This window comes from Homo sapiens, chromosome 6, assembly GCF_000001405.40.
Source record: "Homo sapiens chromosome 6, GRCh38.p14 Primary Assembly".
Lineage (NCBI taxonomy): Eukaryota > Metazoa > Chordata > Mammalia > Primates > Hominidae > Homo > Homo sapiens.
In genome coordinates, this window is record NC_000006.12 from 125,548,596 (window position 1) to 125,569,701 (window position 21,106).

A 21,106-nucleotide genomic window follows, 5' to 3' on the forward strand; every position below is an offset into this window, starting at 1 on the left:
AAATACACTTTGTTTTTTATTTTATTTTAACTTCTAGTTATTTCTTTCCCACATCTCTCCTGGTAGGTTGTCTTTCTTATCCAACCATTTATTGGTTACCTGGCAAGTTCTTCTGAATGCATTTTAAAAAAAATCATATTGTAAATCTAAACCTGCTCTGAGGTTACAGTTTCTTTCTGTAATAAAGCAAGATTGTTCTCATAATTTTATATGATTTGAGAAAGGAGGTTGCATATAGCTAGAACACAAAAACTCAGCTACTCTCTGATAAGTTTAACATGACAAGTAGAGGCTGGTATGCTTCTGTGTTTTCTTCAGGAGGGATATATATGACAGAAAATTTATCTGAAAATTCACATTCCTTTTCAAATTATTATATAGAAATATCATAAGATTTTGAAAAACAAATGAATATCCCAGAAACAAAGTTAAAGTATTTATGTTTTCTCTTTTTCTTTGAATAGGTATCGCAAGGAAGGAAAACTGTCTCCATCTGAAGAGGACATAGCCATGTATCTGCTTTGTTCTCTTCTTGATTTCCACGTTCCCCAAAATGGGCAGGGCTGGCTTAAAAAGCAATGGAGAAAAAGTTCTGGAGATGGATGATGGTGATGTTCTCACAACAATATAAATGTACCTAATGCTACAGAACTGTACACTTAAAAATGCTTAAAATGGCAAATTTTACATTATGTATTTTTGACTCTCTGTCTCCCCCAAAAAGCAATGAAGGCTCTTCCTTTTCATCTTCTTGGCCTCTCTGAGCCTCCCGCTGTCTGTTAACCATCCCCTATAATTCTGCACAGCTTGATAGCTGCTGGGAGTGGTGGGGTGAATTCAAATAACTCAGGAAAGCTAGTTGACTAAGAAACTGCCTCCCAGCCCTTCTTCCAAATTAGCAGCAATATGAGTACAGCCATGAACATGAATATATTTGAAAAAAAGAATACCAACAGAGTAGCAGCTGCTGCTTTGCTGCTGCTTGGTGACTTGGAGACAAGGCTTAGGATTGCCATTAGAGCCCTAACTACAGGCAAAGTCACTCTATAAATGTACCTCACATTCCACAACGGGAAGATTTCCGGAAATGTGACGTGTAGATTGAAATCAATAAAATGACTCATTTATGCAGAGATGAAAATAGTAGTTGTATTTCAATTACATAAATAAAGCAAATGATAGAAAAGAGTCCAAACTATAGAATTCAACCTTTTAGAAATATTTTAAACATAAAACCCTGCTTTCATTTAAATAGTTAGTGCCCATCCTCTCTTCCACCTGCAAGAAGCCCACAAAACTCAACTTACTTCTTGGCTGAAATTAAATGAGAACAAAACCAAGTATAAATAAAATGTTATAATATTCTTATATCAATACAAGAATATGTTAAAGAATTAGAGAAACAATTTTAAATATATGAAAAAGAAAAGCAGTAAACCAAAAGAATTTCTTTTAAGATCTAAGAGCAGCTAAAATGTTTTGAGTACATGCTCTGAACCAGGCACTATTCCAAGTGCTTACCTGTATTAACCCTTTATTCCCCACACATCCCTACCAGGAAAGGTACTACCGCTGCCCCATCTTACAGATAAGGAAACTGAAAGCCAGAGAGTTTAGCAACTTGCCCAAGGTTAGCAATTAGCTTCAATGCTCTGAATCTCTATGTCATATTGCTTTTCTAGAATGTATCTAAAATTCTACTCTGTGTCTAAAGTTAGCAATAAACCGAAAGAAGAAAAACATGGTTGGATGTGGGCTGTAAATAAAAGCATCTGCTGGCTTTGCCAGGTTTGAGAAGCACTTCTTTGAGAAATAATGTTGATTCTTATTTAAAGAAAATTTAAAAGAGAAATAGATTATTTTCCACTGATTCTCAAGTTTGAGCAGTTAATGGAACTTTAGCTATGTCCCAGATCTTTCTTGTGATTTGAATTTTTGTTTGAAGCCTGTCTGAGTAGGGATGAAGAAAATCAGATTTGGCAAAAAGCTTAATGCAGGGTAGCATCTTTCCCTGAGCACTGGCATCCTAAGATGCGGATATTTTCCATCCCAGCAGCTGCTGCTGAGATGATAGTGAGGATGGAGTGTTGTACAAACTGAAGCTCACCCTCTTCAGACACTGCTTATCAGAAAGGTCAGAGCCCTTCACATGCCCTCTGTTTCCTCTTCGGTGAAAGCCTTTGTTCTTTGCCCTGCCCCATCCTCGACTCCCACCATCAGCCCCAGGCTTCCTGGCCCACGTATAGGCTTAGAGAGGAATTGTGAGATCTTTAAACTTCTACTTGCTGATTTCAATAAAGGCAAACCCAGAAATTGGGGGTAAAGGTAGAATAACTTCAAAATGGCCCCTTGTGCAAATGTTTGGAAGCTTAGATCACATCTGGCTGGAAACTGGGGTTGCGGGTTGATAACTTATCAGTGCTTTGCACTACTCAATTAAACCAATGAGCGTAGTCTGGAAAAGTGGCCAGCATCAGCTCACCTCACCGTGGACGGAAAGGCACTGATGATTATATCCTCAACAAAGCTGGTGACTCAAGGGTTGCCATTAGTGACCAGCTTATTTACTTCTTTTCTTGAGTTTCCATTCTTACGACTACTTCCACATCTACAAAACAAAGACTCTGTATGCTACATTTATTTCCAAATAAAGCTTTCTGGCGCTGATATGGAAATTATGACTCCAGCAATGGACAGAGTATGGTTAACTGCCAGGGATTTGGGTTCTTTCTACAGAGGAGGCGCATTGGAGATGAACAGCATTCAGCAGAAAGAAACCTGGAAATCTCTAGGTCTTTCCATTACTATGTGACCAGAAGCAACTCAGTAAACTTCCAGAACTGCAGGTTCTCATCCGGAAAACAGAGCAAACACTCCTAGGTCTGCCTTTTTCCACCTGATTGGTTCAACAATCAAATAAAGTCATGTAAGTATCAGTGTAAATGAAAGTACTGTGTAAACGGTCACTGACTATTCGAGTAATAAGATATTACCCCACCTCACTCAGGTGATAAAGGTGTTCAGCCTATAATCAAACTAGACAATGATCTCTCAAGGGTGTTTCTAGATTTCATGTTCTGCAGTTTAGCAAATGGAAATAAACTTTGTTATTTAATACAATAAGACAGTCGTCTTCAATGAGTCCACAATAACTTAGGCCGGCTCACAGTGATCACACCCTTCTCTAAACACATCACATGTTGTTCATACGATTCATTTGGAAATTAATCACATGCAGCTTGATGCTGTCAATCATTGTTATTTTCCTTTTTAATGTTTTTTTTGCATTCAAATATATATCTCATCTCTCCAACTAGACTATAAATCCCTTCAGGACTATTTGATGTGCTTCTTGTGTATATTAAATAAGATAATGTATATCAAGGACCTAGTATCATATCTAGCACATAGTAAAGCTCAATAAATAATAGTCACTGTTTTCTTTCAGATGACCTACCATGAATTTCAGTCTAGAGTATAGACAGCAAGCTATCAATTAACCAATTCTAGTAGGAAATGCACATTGTGGGATATTGTTTGAAGACTTTTTGAACAATAATCACATAGGACTTAAAAAGAATACTCTAGGCTTTGTGTCAAATGACATCCTTAATTGAGAACAATATTTTAGACTCAAGAGGGGGCAGTGATGTTGAACACAGTTTTTGGAGTCAGATCCTGTTTTGGATGTCTACTCCAATTTTTACTAGATGTATGACCTTGGCCAAAGTATATCACTCTGTTAACTCCAACAGGAGAATGATAATACCTGCTCCAGGACTGTGGTAAGAATTAAAGGAATTAAAGTGACAAAATGGCATAGGGCCAAATAGTAGTAGTTACTCCTGTTATTAAGAGTCCAGGCCAGGCGAGATGGCTTACACCTGTAATCTGAGCACTTTGGGCGGCCTGAGGTCAGGAGTTCGAGACAAGCCTGGCCAATGTGGCAAAACCCCATCTTTACTAAAAATACAAAAATTAGCTGGGCATGGTGGTGCACCCCTATAATCCCCGCTACTCAGGAGGCTGAGGCAAGAGGATTGCTTAAACCCAGAAGGCAGAGGTTGCAGTGAGCTGAGATAGTACCACTGCACTCCAACCTGGGCAACAGAGTGAGACTCTGTCTCAAAAAAAAAAAAAAAAATCCAATGATTTTTATTCTAGGACTCAGTAGTCCATCATAAGAGAAAGATTAACATGCCCACAAGGGAAGAGAAATGAGAACATGGTCTGACAATCTCCTACTTCACCAGGCCAATCTTTTTACCCTCTGAGAACTAACTAGAATCGATAGCATAGGAATTAACAAATTTAATGCATGTATACTCTGGCAAAAAATTGCTTCAAATTCTAGGAAATGTATTTCCTATGTGTAGATAGGAGATTGAAAAGATAAAGCATGTGTACCAATCATAGAAACATAAGACTCCTTATCAGTTACATGTTTGAGTAGGCTACATAGCTATTAAATTTATGATTGTAAGACTATAAAGGCATTTTAAAAGAAAAGTAATTGCATTTTGTTTCCAACTGTGAGTTTATGTCATCACAATCTTGAAATATTTGTTTTTATAGAATTTTTAGATTTTTTTATTCAATCAATAGAAACATTATAAAAATTATGGAGAGGAAAGAGCTACCAAATATAGGTAGCTAGGAAATTGAAAAGATAAAGCATGTGTAACAATTATAATTTTTACAATTATACACATGATACAGTTTGAGAATTGAAATCAGATATTCAGTAATGTAGTGATGGGAGGGTGTCTTTTTACCTTTTTGGTGAAAATAATAGTAACTTTATAGAGTTTTCTTTTGGAGGGGATTCTAATACCTGCTTTCATTAATTTATGTATTGGTAAATATATTCAGGCTTTCCTGCATCAGTATTTGACATTTAATTTTTAAAATGGTTTTCTTCCCTAAGCTGACATTATATTCCCATTTTTTTCAATTAAATAATTATTGCTCAAAAAACTTTGTTCAGCAAATGTGTCTAATATGTAAATAAAATATTTTCTTATGATTTCTAAAGCACTAATTTATAAAAAAACATTTAAAATAGGAAATACACGTTGCAATGTAATAAATAATGCTACTTAACTCTAATATCAAAAGAAGATAACTTACAGTAACTAAATCTTTTTTTTTTTTTTTGAGACGGGGTCTCCCTCTGTCACCCAGGCTGGAGTGCAGTGGCGCAATCTCGGCTCAGTGCCAGCTCCGCCTCCCGGGTTCACGCCATTCTCCTGCCTCAGCCTCCCGAGTAGCTGGGACTATAGGCACCATCTTTTTTCAAATGTATGTGTAAGTCTTTGCTCAAGAGAAATATATATTTTAATTGAGATTAAAATATCATTAAGATTCACATTTATTTCATTCCTAGTGTCCTTGTTTAACTTTTTCTCTTTTAAATTTGGCATCATTTTAGAGACTGTGACACACCTCTTAGTTTTAGAATTTGGTTCTAGTTTTATCTTTATAAAAATGTTCTTTAAAAATGCAGCTAGAAAATATTTAATGGTAGTTGCAACTACCTCTAAAAACATTTAAAGTTGGAGATAGATTTAAAATGAAAACAATCTTTAAAACAAAGACCATTACAACAATTAAAATTCAAATTTTTAAATTTTTCCAAAATGTTTAAATGACCAAAAATTGTTTGTGCTTTCAATATTTCAGATTTCTCCACCTGTCTGCTGTTCACCTTGCTATATTTTGTATAACAAATTGGAGGAAACAAACCACTTATACAAAGAATCACAATTAATACTAAGAAATATGTATGTCTCATCTTATAATTTCATAAAAAAATTGAAAGATTAAATTTTAAAGACTTCTGAGAACTGTGTGAATTGAACACACATTACCTGTGTTTTGTACTAATTGTATTAATAGTAATTATATCTTCTTACCTTATTTAGAAAGGCTGAGTTGGTGCAGGGAGAATTTACATTTATATTTGAGGAATTTTCCTAACACTTGCTTTTAATTAAGGAACATGGATCACAGTGAATCAGCTAGCATGGGTTTACATAGAGCTTTAGCTAATTGCTTAACTTTCAGAGAAGTGATACTTTTTCAAATGAATCATGAAGAATGTCTTCAAAGGTCAACAGAGAGAAAAAACATCAGTTTTCGCTCCTACACAATAATTTGTACTTTTTTTTATAGAAATCTGGAAGTAATTCTGATTTTAAAAGGCAACATTTTAAGCAGCTTCAATTTTCTAAGTGTCAATTAAAAGCCATGTTTGATGTTTCATTTTAATTGGAGCTGTTACCCTGAACACTAATAAGGTGATGATGGTGGGAAATATAAAATAATATACTAGAAACAATTTAATTTTATATAACTTTTACATAATGAAAATGCATTGACTCTATGCAACATGTTAACAAATTACTATAATGCCATTCATACATCTTTTAAAGTCAAAAATCAACTTTTCAAAAACCTTTTATACATATTGTACTATCAAGAGAGACTAAATTAGAGTTCTCAAATTACTTAAATAAGTGAATTTATAATTACCAAATGGAAATAAATCGAGATTAGCTGAATTAATTTTAACTGCATAAAAAAGTCCATAATAATTGTATACTTAAATTTTTTTCCAACAATAAAATATATCCCAGGGGCCAAGCAATGTCACTGGAATAAATTCCTTTCACAGACGTAAAGGGCTTGATGACAGTTATTTTCCAAGTCTAGGGTCCCACAATCACATCTCTGAAAGATTTTCTACATGAAGTGTTTGAAGAAGTGGTGGACGTGTCACTGATCTCTGAGGTCCATTCCAGGTCTCCTTTAAGGCAGAGGTGGGGCACGCAGGAGAGAAGAAAAGGTAATACTGATAACAGAATCTGAACCAAATGTTGTTGCATGCTAGAAATGATTAGATGCCCTTGTCATGGAGCTGTTACAGAGGTCTGGGGTGAAAGAGGGAAAGAAGAGGTCAAGTGTAGGCACATGAGTACAAAAAATGTTTATGCTATATAGTGCAGGGAAAGTGAACCCTTAACCTACTCCTAAATCCTCTTTCCTTTTCCTTTCTAAATATCCTTTCGTGCTGTGAAGGGAAGAATGGAGGTGGGTCTTATTGCTACTTATTGACACATATCAGGTTTAGCTACACAATATGTTTGTAATTAAAAGCTTCAGCAAGAATATTCTGCTCCTTTCCTTTGAGGATTTGCAGAGCACAGGCTTAGGGCACTGCTACTGAACTGGCTCTCATTATACAATGCCTATTTTAGAAAGTCTATGTCTTATCACCACAGTTACTTTTGGTGGGATTCATGTCGTACACATTCATTCAATAAATATGCATTGTGTACCTGGTAGGTTTCAGGCCCTGTGCTAGACAGTAAACAGATAGACAAAATTCCTTACTCTCCTGGAGTTTACATTTTCATAGCAAAAACAGGCACAGAACAAAATAAATGAGTAAATCGAGTATCATGTTTTATTGATTTTTTTAATACACACTTTTTTCCCACACTTTAAAACATGTAAATTAGTACATTCTAAAATTTATGGTGAGTCATATGTTACTTGTTGATATTTTTCTTTACAGTGGCCCATAAAATAATGACATAAACCTTCATTGATAACACTGAGGATTCAACAAAATACAGTAGGATATTAGGAAGTATTTTCAAAGATAAAGAATAGAAAGTGGAATCTTGCAGTTTTTAGTAGTATGGTCAGGGTTAGCCTCACTGAGAGGTGTCATTTGAGCCCAGACTTGCTAGATGAAGGAGCAAGCCCTGGAAGGCATCCCAAGCAGTGGAAACAGCAGATGCAAACGCCCTGCGACAGGAGGATACCAGACCATGCTCTGGGAAATATAAGACCAGAGTAGGTGGAAGCGAATGAGGTAAGAACAGCAATAGTAAAGGATGAAATCAGAGAAATCAAGGGAGCCAGACTGTAGAGGGTCTTGAAGACCATTGTAAGGACTTTAGCTTTCACTCTGAGTGAGATGGGGAGCCGTAGAGGGCTTTGAGAAGACACAATATGAATCATATTTGAAAAGCACAAAAGCACCTCTAATTGCTGTGTTGAGAATGGGTGGACTGAAGAGAACAAAGGTAAACGTAGAGACCAATTAGGAATCTATTGCAATATTTCAAGTAAGAGACCAACATGGCTGTCTCCAGGTGTTAGCAATAAAGTGATGAGAAGTGGTCAGATTCTGAACAGATTTTGAAGATAAAGCCCATAACTTGGTTTATGCTGGATGCCGGGTTTGAGAGACAGAGGTGGGTCATGGATGACTCCAAGGTTTGGGCCCGAAAGACTAGAACTAAGGTGTCACCATCAGTCATTCTGATTGTAAACCAAAGGTTCCTCATGCTAAATCAGCAAGTTTCTGACTGTGTCTAGAGTTGTGTATCTAAAACTAAGTATTTCAAACAGTAATGACCATGAGAGTTTTGGCTCACCAAAGGAAGGGAAAGAGGAAGAAAGGCCAGATAAAAGGGGATTAACTATTCTACCAGGTTGTTCACATACAATATCATTGAATTCCAACAACCACCATTCAGTGTTGGTATTATTATCCCTGTTTTACAAGTAAGGAGATTGGGCCTCAGGCTGGTTAAGTAACTTGCCAAGCTCACATGGCTATTGCCACCCTCGTAGAGGTGGGAGTTTTCCCCTTAGAACTGGTTGCAGTTCTTTAACCAGTTAAGAGCTTCCAACTCTGCCCCACCTTATTCTCCTAGAGGCATTGAGATTTTTTTTTCTTTCTTTCTCCAGATCAGTGGAAGAATATTTCAGTTGATACAACATAGTATTGTTCCCAAAACCATCCTTCAGCCAAAAATAGATAAAAGGTAAAAAGGGTAAATATTATAGACTATCCTCATGACTTTCTTATAATAGATGTTTGAGGCAAAAATTATAAGACCACCTGATGTGGTCATCAATATACTTAAACGAAATAAAGAGAATTATATATTAAAACTAAGGGCTGAGAAAGGTGGCTCATGCCTATAATCTCAGCACTTTAGGAGGCAAAGGCAGAAGGATCTTTTGAGATCAGGAGTTTCAGACCAGCCCTGGCAACATAGTGACACCTCGTTTCTTTAAAAAAAAAATTAAAAATTATCTGGGCACGGTGGACATCTATAGCGCCAGCTCTTAGGGAGGCTGAGGGGTGAGGATCACTTGAACCTGGGAGGTCAAGGATGTGGTGAGCTATGATCATACAACTCAGTCTAGCCTGGGCAAGAAAGTGAGACTCTGTCTCAAAAAAAAAAAAAAAGTAAGGAAGTAAGGACCTAAATGTAAGTAAGCTTTCTACACTTCACCTGAGGTAGTAAAACTGATAACAGTAGACTGTAGTATGTTATACGTGCATATTGTAATATGGACAGCAACCACTCAAAAGTATACAAAGCTATGTACTCAATAACACTATGAATAAATCAAGACGGAATGAATGAATAGAAATTCATTCTCAGAAATATCTAATTTAAGAGGCTTGTTTTCAACAACAAAAAAATCATTGCATATAAATTTTTAACATCGTCATGATACGTGATGCTGATCAAAGGATCTTTTGTAAATCACTGGATAAGATGATGAAAATTTTTAATCATGAAAAAATACAAAATCATTGTAAATGAAAGGTAAAATCAGCCTGACTGTGTCAAAAGCAGAAAGCCTGGGCATTTCATAATCACAATCATGTCCTGAACTCATAATTTCACTCATGTTAACATTTGTTTTTAAATTTACTGCCTCTAACCTGATCCAAAGCAGCTGCTTTCCCACAAGGAGGCTTATCTTTTTCAGCATGGAAAATAAAATGGGGTTAAAAATGCAACCAGATCCAGCCCATCGCCGGGAAATTTCAGTTCAGAAGAGGATATATGCAGTGCCAGAAGCTCAAACAGTTGGTTTGAAGGCAGGATTATCTTGTTCTCAAGACAGAGTCATTAGGACAAGGTAGAGGGCTGCTGTGCACAGGCGTCTCCACGGCGCACGAACGCCAGACCCCTTCCATTGTCCCTGGCTGGGATGAACTCTTCAAAGCTGGCCACTTGAAGCATGCAGGTCCTGGCTGAGGTCAGCTCTGCTGCTGCTCACCCAGTGACCCCTGGTCCAAGCAGACAGAGAAAGGGACACTGCCTCTCTGGAAGATCAAAGCCCAGCTTAACTCACTGTTTCTCTCAACTCTCCTGCTCAGGAGGCTGAGCTGGTTAATGAGGGAGGGGTGGAGGCAGAAAAAAGGAAAGGCATTTTAGCACAATGTAGAGCATTGCTAGCTCCCCAAGAAACACTATGCTGAAGTATCACTGGCCATAGTGGCTAAAATGTAACTAGCCAGCTGCCCCTGCCATGCAGCATTGAGAAACACAAACAACTGAGGAAAATGCAGGGTTGACAACAGGTAATGAGGTGAGCAGAAATTATGTCGGGAGAGTGGCTCTCACAGACAGATGCTCTCTCTCACCGGCTCACCTTCCAGCAGAAGTTCTGACTCATCACAGCTGTCAAAGAAAGGTCAGAAGGAGGAGAAGGAGCAGCTTGGGGCTGCTTTTTCTCAAAGGTATTTGCTTCCTCTTGTTTTGACATTGTCCCCACAACCTGTACTACAGTGACTTCTGAGCCTCCAGGATGGACACGTTGGTCACTCAGGCTCTGTTCTGCTATTTGGTGATCAACCATTCTGGTTTGCCTGGAACTTTCCTTCTACTGTCCTATGTCCCAGGAAATACCTCATACCTAAAACTCCCACATCCCAGAAAACCTCTCATGGTCATCCTAGTTGTGAGTTAGCAAGATTGCATAGATGACTGTGTGGTTTGGGGAAAGGTAACTATAGTAGGTTGCCTGGTGACCCCCCAGAATAAATGTCCATACCCTAATCCTTGGAACCTGTGAATGTGACCTTATTTGGAAAAGTGGTCTATATAGGTGTAATTAAAAATCTCAAGATGAGGCCAGCTGCAGTGCCTCACACCTGTAATCCCAGCACTTGGGGAGGCTGAGGCGGGCTGATCACGAGGTCAGGAGATCAAGACCAGCCTGGCCAACATGGTGAAACCTCATCTCTGCTAAAAATACAAAAATTAGCTGGGCGTGGTGGCACACACCTGTAGTCCCAGCTACTCGGGAGGCTGAGGCAAGAGAATCACTTGAACCCGGGAGGCGGAGGTTGCAGTGAGCCAAGATTGCATCACTGCACTCCAGCTTGGGCAACGAAAGCGAAACTCCATCTCAAAAAAAAAAAAAAAATTAGCTGGGCGTGGTGGTACATGCTTGTAATCCCAGCTACTTGGGAGGCTGAGGCAAGAGAATTGCTTGAACCAGGGAGGTGGAGGTTGCAGTGAGCCAAGATCACACCACGGCACTCCAGCCTGGGCAATAAGAGAGAAACTCCATCTCAAAAAAAAAAAAAAAAAAAACTCCAGATGAGCTCATCCTGGATTTAGGGTTCACTCCTATAAGAAACAGGGGATGAGACGACAAAGAGACTCAGAGGGGAAGGCAATGTAAAGCCAGAGTCAGAAATGCCAACGCTCACGTGAAGCAGCAAAAAGAAAGGAACAAGAATGAATCCTCTTAGAGCCTTTGGAGGGAGTGTGGCCCTGCTGACCCTGAATTTTCGGCCTTCTGGTCTTCAGAACTGTGAGACAATAAATTGTTCTCATTTTAAGACACCCAGTTTGTAGTAATTTGTTATGACAAACAAGGAAAACTAGAGCTTGGCATCTGGGTTTCTCCCCTGAGGCTACAAGTTAAAAATTTTGGGTGAAGACACTGGATGGCTAGCAGGTGAAACAGATAAAGTATGAAGTCATTTAGGCCAAGAAAGAGCTTTAAGATGAAACTTAGAGTTGTATTAGTCCATTTTCATACTGCTATGAAGAAATGCCTGAGACTGGATAATGTATAAAGAAAAGGAGGTTTAATGGACTCACAGTTCCACATGGCTGCTGGGGAGGCCTCACACTCATGGAGGAAGGCAAATGAAGAGCAAAGGCATGTCTTACCTGGTGGCAGGCAAGAGTGTGCAAGGGACAGATCTCGTGAGACTTACTATCACAAGAACAGCACAGGAAAAGCCCACCCCCATGATTCAATTACCCCCCAACAGTTCCCTCCCACAACATGTGGGCATTATGAGAGCTACCATTCAAGATGAGATTTGCGGGGGGACACAGCCAAACCATATCAGGAGTCATCAATGAGTTTAGCGAATTGACTTTTTTCATAAACACTGCTTATATACAAATTGGCCTGAGGGGGAAAATATGTATATAATATTTTTTTGCCCCCCATAGGATGTTTGACAATAAGTAAAATATTGTCATATATATGTGTAATATGTGAAATATATATTAAGATAATTTTTATATATGTGTGTATATATATATATATATACTTTTCATTTTCATAAAAAGGAATTACCAATAACATTTGTTGACTGATGGCCTGATCTTACTGACCTCCCTCAGATATATCTATGCTCCCATAGAATAATATATCCACATATGAAACTTCCCTGGGTGAACTTACATTTTTTTCAAGATGAAGGAATCACCTAGTTTTACTCCCATTTGTAGACAAATAAATTTCTTTATATATTTTCCTTTTTAAATGTTTTTATTAGTACATAATTATACATATGTATGAGGTACATGTGATATTTTAATACATGCATACAATGTGTAATGATCAAATCAGGGTATTTAGGATATCCATCACCCCAAACATTTGCCATTTTTTGTGATGTGAACATTTCAAGTCTTCTAGCTATTTTAAAATATACAGTACATTGCTGTGAATTATAGTCACCCTACTGTGCCATTCAAATACTAGGACATCCTTTTATCTAACTGTATGTTGGTATGAATTAACCAACCAATGAACTTCTCTTCATTTCCCTCCTACCTCTATTCTTTCCAGCTTCTAATAACTATCACTCTATTCTCTACCTCCATGACACCCATATTTTTGGCTCCACATCTGAGTGAGAACATGTAATACTGGTCTTTCAGTGCCTGGCTTATTTCACTTACCATAATGACCTCCAGTTCCATTCATGTTGCTGCAAATCACAGGGCATTTATACTTTTTTTTTTTTTTTTGAGATGGAGTCTCGCTCTGTCGCCCAGGCTGGAGTGCAGTGGCACGATTTTGGCTCACTGCAAGCTCCGCCTCCCGGGTTCACGCCATTCTCCTGCCTCAGCCTCCCGAGTAGCTGGGACTACAGGCGCCCACCACCATGCCCAGCTAATTTTTGTATTTTTAGTAGAGACGGGGTTTCACCATGTTAGCCAGGATGGTCTCGATCTCCTGACCTTGTGGTCCACCCACCTCGGTCTCCCAAAGTGCTGGGACTACAGGCATGAGCCACCGCCCCCAGCTGGCATTTATACTTTTTAATGGCTGAATAATACTCTATTGTGTGTGTATATATGATATATACAATGTGATATATATGTGTGTGATATATATATAATGTGATATATATGTGATACATTTTATATATATAATGTTTTATATATATATATATCACATTTTCTTTATTTATTCACCTGTTAATGTACACTTAGGTTGATTCCATAGCTTGGTTATTGTGAACAGTGCTGCAATAAACATGGGAGTACAGATATCCCTTTTATAAGCTGATTTCCTTTCCTTTGAATAAATATCCAGTAGTAAGACTGCTGACTCATATTGTAGTTCTATTTTTTGTTTTTTGAGAAACCTTCACAGTGTTTACCATAATGGCTATGCTGATTTACATTCCCACCAACAGTGCACAGCCTCACCAGCAATTAGATATTTTTCTAACAGACTGAGGGCCAGAACATCTTACTCAGCAAAGCATTATACTGAAGACATTACAGTTTATTATTATTGAAATTCTTGGAGGCTAAAAATGAGAAGGTGGAAAGCAAATGCGTGAAATAACTTTGAAAGCTACAATAAAAGAGATACTACAATTAGCATCTTAGCCCATAAAAAACACATTAAAATCATTACAGGGCACACTTCAAATGATGCAACAAGTAGGGAAAAAGTCTACCAATATCCCCAAAGTCTACCCATATCCCCAGAGATATCAGTAGACTTTTTTCACAGGAAAAAAAGGGGTAAACAATATATTTTGTGTTTTCTAACTCTCTGTAGTATGATGTATACCAGGCCAGATGGGGTCTATTACTGATGTCAGTGACTATCTACTGCAGCCCACCAAGAGCAACTAAATACAATTTATCCATTTGTCCACTTTTTTGTTTTTCTTCCTGATGTCCTTTCTAGCCCCTAAACTGTAGAACATACGTCCTTCTTTATGTGCCCATGCACTCTCACCTCCCCCATGATCATTTCTGAAGTAGCTTTTTTTCTCCCATAGAAGTTGGTGTCAGTGGCAATGTCTGTCTTTTTAGCCATTGTATGCCCAACATTTTGTTACCTTGCTGTACCTATCACACTGCTTTGCCTGTGATATGCCAACCAAGTTAAAACAAACCACACCAAATGCTTTATTTTCTCTGTTAGGCTCTCCAGGAAATATTGGTGATCATAATCACTACTGAAGTTGGTTTCATATGAAGACATTGTCACTGTGTCACCCATGAGGTTCCTCAAGGGAGTAGATGTGTGTGTGTGTGTGTGTATATATATATATATATATATATATATATATATATATATTTTTTTTTTTTTTTTTTTTTTTTTTTCTCTTACCCACGCTGAGAGATGGATAGAGAAATGCCTCCAGAAAAGCTGGCTTTTTAAAGTGTATCTATTACCTGGGCAGGGAGTTAAGAACTCTAAATGGATGCTTCTGCTCAGGAGTTCTAACCTTGATACTGAAACTACTAATATTTGGGGCTGGATAATTTTTTGTTGTGTTGTTCTGTCCTCTGTTTTATAGCATGTTTAGCAGCACCTCTGGTCTCTACTTGATGTCATTAATGATTTCAATTATATTAACCAGATATTGCCAAATGTCCCCTGGGAGGAAAAATTGCCCCTGGTTGAGAACCACTGCTGTAATATTTTCTCATAAGCACATTGGAGGAGGAAAAAAATAGTTTTTCATCTTATTGTCACTTGAAAAATACCAAGAATCTTCTCTGTAGAATGAAGCACCAGAGTGAAAGGTGTATGTTAGGACAAAAACTCCAACTGTTTCTTCATTCTGATAGCTCCATCATGAATCTGTCTCCTAACTGCCCTCCCCTCTATGTCACCCCACCTCATTCTCAGAATTCAGTGGAGTAGCCAAGTCACCCACCTTTATTGTCTAAGCATTCTCTGATTGGAGAAAGGTTTCTGCATCCAAGAAGTGATATAGTGCTTCCCCCCAATAAAAAGAGCATGTTATATGATTGGCAAATTATATTCCCAGAGAGAACTGGGAATTTTCCTTTCTGGATGCTCCACTACAAATAATCAGGAGTGGTAACTATCTTATATGAGGGAAGCCATTTTTGTCCCAACTTAGATTATTAGACATTCTCAACACACCATTGGGAAAGCCACTTTCCCCACCAAACTGTTTATTTAGAGTAACAGATAATAGATCACTGAATTCCACAGCTACAAGTAAAATCTAACTTTAGTCCTAAATGTTGGCATACTCTCTTCTACAACCATGAATCAGAGCAATGAACAAATGACGGAACATGTGACTGCTTTTTCCTTTATGATTTCTCTTCCCACAAGCCTTATTCTGATGACTGTTGGAGTTAATCTGTAAAATGGCAAAACATGAATAGATAAATTAAAAAATCAAAAAGAGATAGGAAGTGGGAAGGAAAAGAAATAGAGTGCCTGGATGATTTGCAACATAATTAATCAGTCCTTGAATAATCAAGATCTAAATGTGCAGGAAACACAAGTAATAATGATAGAGGAGGAAAAAATGAGGCAGTCACAATGGAAGTGCTGAGGCCAACAGGTCCTCTGTAGGACCTCTCGGGAGCACAGCAGATGACTGTTCCGGTATGATGCCTGCTGTGCATTTCAGAGTCTGAGAAACAAAATGTTTGTTAGGAAAGCAAATGAAGGACTGAGAAATAATTCCTTCTCAGGTAACTGGCTGCCCATCACTACAGACATCACTGAGGAGAGGAAATAAAATAGAAAATTACCATAGAAGTTGCCAAAACCCCAGCCCGAATAAAACAAAGTCAGATGGCATGGAAGCCTTGCATGCCTGAATAAAACACGACTAAATAAAACCAAATTTTGTCCCACAAGAAGAATGGAGAAAACTTTTAACCAATTAGAGAAACTCCATCGTGATCAAATATGACCCACGTAATGATTATATGGAACGGTAAACATTTTAATAATATAATTAAATACAAATGTAAAGTTTTTGTTTTCTTCTTTTTGTGAGCTTGTATTTTCTGCTTTCATGGTCAGCCGCCTAACGTAGTGATTTAATTACCTCAGAGTAAGTCAGTCAAGCTGGCCGTCTGAAAACTGCCTTTTCACAATGCCCTCAACTGACCTGAAGTGAAACTCAAACTCACCCTTTGTGCCCAGGGTTTTCCTGACAACAAAAGAGGTATTGGTTCTCCTTCCCCAGATACCAGCCCTGGGCTGATTTTCCAGTCTCTCTCCTCCTCCCTAAGTCTCCTTCCTCTATCCTGTCTTTGCCTTCACTCCACCCTCCACTCACTCCCCACTCCCCACACACAATGGAAAAGAATGCGGAATCTGCCATCTTGTTTCTCTCAGTTATCACAGAGAAGAGCGTGGGGGTTGTCTTTTATTTCCAGGCGCATAAAATTCCTGTCTCTAACAGCTCGGACCTTGGTTATTACAACCAACTGTGAAACTGCTTCAGGAGAAGATCTCATGATAATGTTTTGGAGTCATAGGTAAGAGGAGGAATCAGAAACACTACCTGATAGAATGGACTGAGCAACCACATGGCCTATTGAAAGAACTGGAATTAGACCAGGGAGCATTCAAATCCACTCTTTTGATTCAGATCCTACCTAACTAAAGAGAAATACCTTCTACAAAATAGAAGGGCTTTAATGAACAGGAAGGATTCCCTAATATGTCTTTGTTGGCTTTTCCTGTGCAAACCACACTGCATGTGACAGGTACCAAGGTCACAGCACACTTGAGAAACACATTATGCTTGAGGGTAAAAACAGTACTCAGGACCTTGTAAGGAATCATCCCCTTTCCCTCAGTTACTCAGTTGGTACATTCAGATTCTCTATTAGAAGCTTCTGTGTACAAATTTTGGATATTTATCCTTTTCAAAAAGTAGCAATATATCATAATACTGAATATCTAATGGTAGTCAATGCCATGGGAAAAGGTATAGGAGAGGAGAAAGCAAGCATCAAGACTTTTTCTTAAATTATTTAAATATGGTACAGGATATGGGGTATCCATCTGAATGCTAACTTGTTTAGTTCAATATGTTTTCTGTTTCTGTTGGCTAGGGTCTAAGAAAATATCTAACGTAATGGGACTTAAACTGATATTAAAATCTTCACACTTAAACTTCTTCCACATTAAAAAAAAGGAATAAATGAATACACTGTGCATAATGATTCAAGAGTATCCCCTGATAACACTGAAACATCAACCCACAATTAGAAGCTTTCCGACAAACAACAAATTCTATAGCAATCTTATTCTGCAATATTTTTAGAACACAGCCTCACTGAGAACTGTGTAGTCTCCTCCTTCCAAAACTTCTTCAAATCACTTCTATAACTTACTTTCCAGAGAAAGCAATCAGTGGTTACACTTGTTCATTATTCCACAGCCTGTGATTCTCAGGAGCAACTAATGTGTGGGGCAATATGTTTAATGAGACTAACGACATAAACTTTTGTTCTTCAAAGAGATTTGCAGATTGTCTCTTGTAGGTTGACTTGTTTCTGTGGTTCAATTTCTTTACTCATAGAAAGGATAGTAGTTATGTGTCACTCCCAAAGGGAGAGAATTCGAAGAGGGAATTTGTAATCAAGCAATTGGTCAATATGAATTTGTGCCCACTGGCACAGAGTGAAGACAGGTAGGTGGAGACAGATAAGCAGATACAACCTCCTTGTTAGAGGATGCGAATAAATATACTCCATCTCTATTAAGATCTGTTAAAAAAGAGCAAAGAGATTTAAGCTATGGCATAGCATAGGTGAGTGAAATGAAAGAAAAGCCTGTATTTCTATGGAGATTATTTAAGGTATTTATGAAAATTGTAGAATCTATTTCTCTCTATTGTTGAATGAATTATTCCGTTTATGTGGATATGTCCAAATAACAGAATGAATTCTTAGGGATACTTTCAACACAATTATTTCATTTCACAGGATGGTTTAAAATGTTACAAATAGTTCAATAGTGAATTTATATTTAAATAATTTCAAACAAACATGGCTATTTCCAATTGCATTGGAATTGTTACTGCAGTACTAGAGAACATTTATTTTGCGCTTAATCCATTATAAACTGCTATTTAATTGTTTGTAGGAGTTACTTAAGGTGGTACAATATGGCTGTCTGATAAGAGTTTATTTGTACATACTTAGCTCTGAACATCCAAACATATGGCAATCTGTTTGCTCCACCAAATGCTACTCAGTATTCTGTTGTCTTTACTATTTTCCGTTAGAGAAGGCATTGTAGGGATTTCTATGGAAAGTACAAGATGTGCATATTTCTGGGTCAAACCAGCTAAAATCAGCCACTGCACTAACCCAAAAAGATGGGTTACTGAATTTCAACCCAAAAAGATGGGTTAGGTTTCAGCCCCTTTTACCTTACGAAAGAATTAAATTTAAGAGAGATACCAATTTTTACCATTAACATGCATTACTTTTGTAAAAATCAAAAGATAAAGACCCAAATGTGGAAAAAATAGAATAGTATTAAAATGATCAGCAATCAGACTCTCCTGGCTCTTCTGCCTCTTAGTCTCATTTCCTTCCCTTTCACCTCCACATACCCTCCAGGCCCCCTGGACTGGCTGGCTTTCCCTGATCACACCATGTGCTTCACACCTGCCTAATACTGCTCATGCTAGCTCCTTTGCCTAGAAGGCCAGCCCTTCCTCCTTCTGATGAAAGCACACTCCTCCTCCAAGACCCAGTGTAGCCTCACCTCCTCTGGATAGCAGTCCTTGACTATTGTGGCTAGCCAACCTGAGGCCAGTAGAGTATGTCACCCCAGTCCTGTGTCCCCCGGTTCTGGAATTCTATTTTTCCAATAATAATTTTCTCATGTCAGACTCCTTAAAATTAAGTCAATTTCTCGTTGCTATTCTGTTTCCCAGGACCTACTCCAGAGGCTAGAAGATGAGAGATCTCAAAAATATGTGTAAGAAATAATTTAAAAATGCATCTATCTTACTGTCATAATCAGCTCAGGTTCTTATAACAAAACACCACAGACCTAGTTAAACGTCTTAAATTATAGATATTTATTTCTGGAGACTGGAAAGTTCAAGATCAAGATGCTGGCAGATTTGGGTTTTAGTGAGGGCTCTCTTCCTGGCTTGCAGACAGCTTCCTTCTTGCTATATCCTGACATGGTGGAGAAAGAAGTTCTAGTGTCCCTTCCTCTTCATATAAAGGCACTAATCCCATCATGGGGGCTCCACACTCATGAATACATCTTAATCTAATTTTCCCCACAAAGGCTTCACCTCCTAATACCATCACTTTTTGGGTTAGGACTTCAATATATAAATTCTGGGGAGACACAGTATTCAGCTCATAACACTTACCTTCTTCAGTCACTATCCAGAAAAGTATTGCAGCACATTGTTGTCATATGTATCAAAGTCTTATTGCTGTTACTAAATTTTACCACTCTTTAATCATTAGAAATACTATCAATGTATACTCAAAAGTAGTCAAAACAACGATCTGATAACACTGAAAGTGAAAACATAAAACAAGCACAATTGTACACACAAAAAAATTGTAACAGAAATGAGTAGATAACCTGGCCTGTAAGGAGTAATATTTTCATCCTCTAAATTTGCATATGATAAAATTAGGAGTTGCCTGCATTTGGAAGCAAATTGTTACGGAACATCAAGAAAATTGGTAAGAATACTTACATTTTTATATATACATATATAAATATGAATAGAAGATAGATGGATCTATAGAGAGACAGATTGATATTGCTTGGCTGTGTCGCCACGCAAATCTCATCTTGAATTGTAACTCTCACAATTCCCATGTGTCATGGGAGGTGATTGAATTATGGGGGCGGGTCTTTCCTACATTGTTCTTGTGATAGTAAATGAGTCTCATGAGATCTGATGGCTTTAAAAATGGGAGTTTCCCTGCACAAGCTCTCTTTTTGCCTGCTGCCATCCAAGTAAGATATGACTTGTTCCTCCTTGCCTTCTGCCATGATTATGAGGTCTCCCCAGGCATGTGGAACTGTAAGTCCATTAAACCTCTTTCTTTTGTAAGTCGCCCAGTCCTGGGTATGTCTTTATCAGCAGTGCAAAAATGGACTAATACATATATGTATGTGTGTGTGTGTGTGTGTTTGTGTGTGTGTACGGCTTAGCTATATAGCAAACTGGGAAGGAAACGTGAGCTTTCACCTAATCAAAGATTGTTTGATCCCTCTTTTTCACAAAGAGATTTTTCAATTAGTGCCCACACAAAGGAACAACTTGTGACTGAACAGTCTAATTTCTAGGGATAAGACTAGGAGGCAATATTTACACATTAACCAGTTAGAGGCATGAGGGGAAGGATGCTAGAATTCAGTAAAATTAATTCATTTCTAGTTAATGCCTGAATGTAATGGCGTTTAAAACTTGTTTGTTTAGAATGAGCCTTAGTCCATGCATTAGGAATCATGTCCATTTGCTTCCTAAATTGATTTTTGAAAGTGAACCACTTAGTGTTAGCTGTGCAGGCCTCTTGTTTTCTCAGATGTTTGTCTGAGCTCACACTACCCCACACTAGAATGTTTTTCATTCCTAACTCTCCTAACCCTCACATAACTTATCATGCCTGAGGATGTCCTTATTTCCTCAAGACAAAATTTTCTCTACTGGAATAGTTAATTTTATGTACCAATTTGGCGAGGCCACAGTACCCAGATATTTGGTCAAACACCA

At 38.0% G+C, this 21,106-nt stretch overlaps 1 annotated feature.

Moving 5' to 3' along the window:
* Positions 514 to 1,121: an enhancer, noted in NCBI's record as "NANOG hESC enhancer chr6:125870255-125870862 (GRCh37/hg19 assembly coordinates)". NCBI's record gives its function as "activates a minimal SCP1, AML or CMV promoter by ChIP-STARR-seq in primed H9 embryonic stem cells {active_cell/tissue: H9 hESC(primed)}" and the evidence as "EXISTENCE:reporter gene assay evidence [ECO:0000049][PMID:30033119]".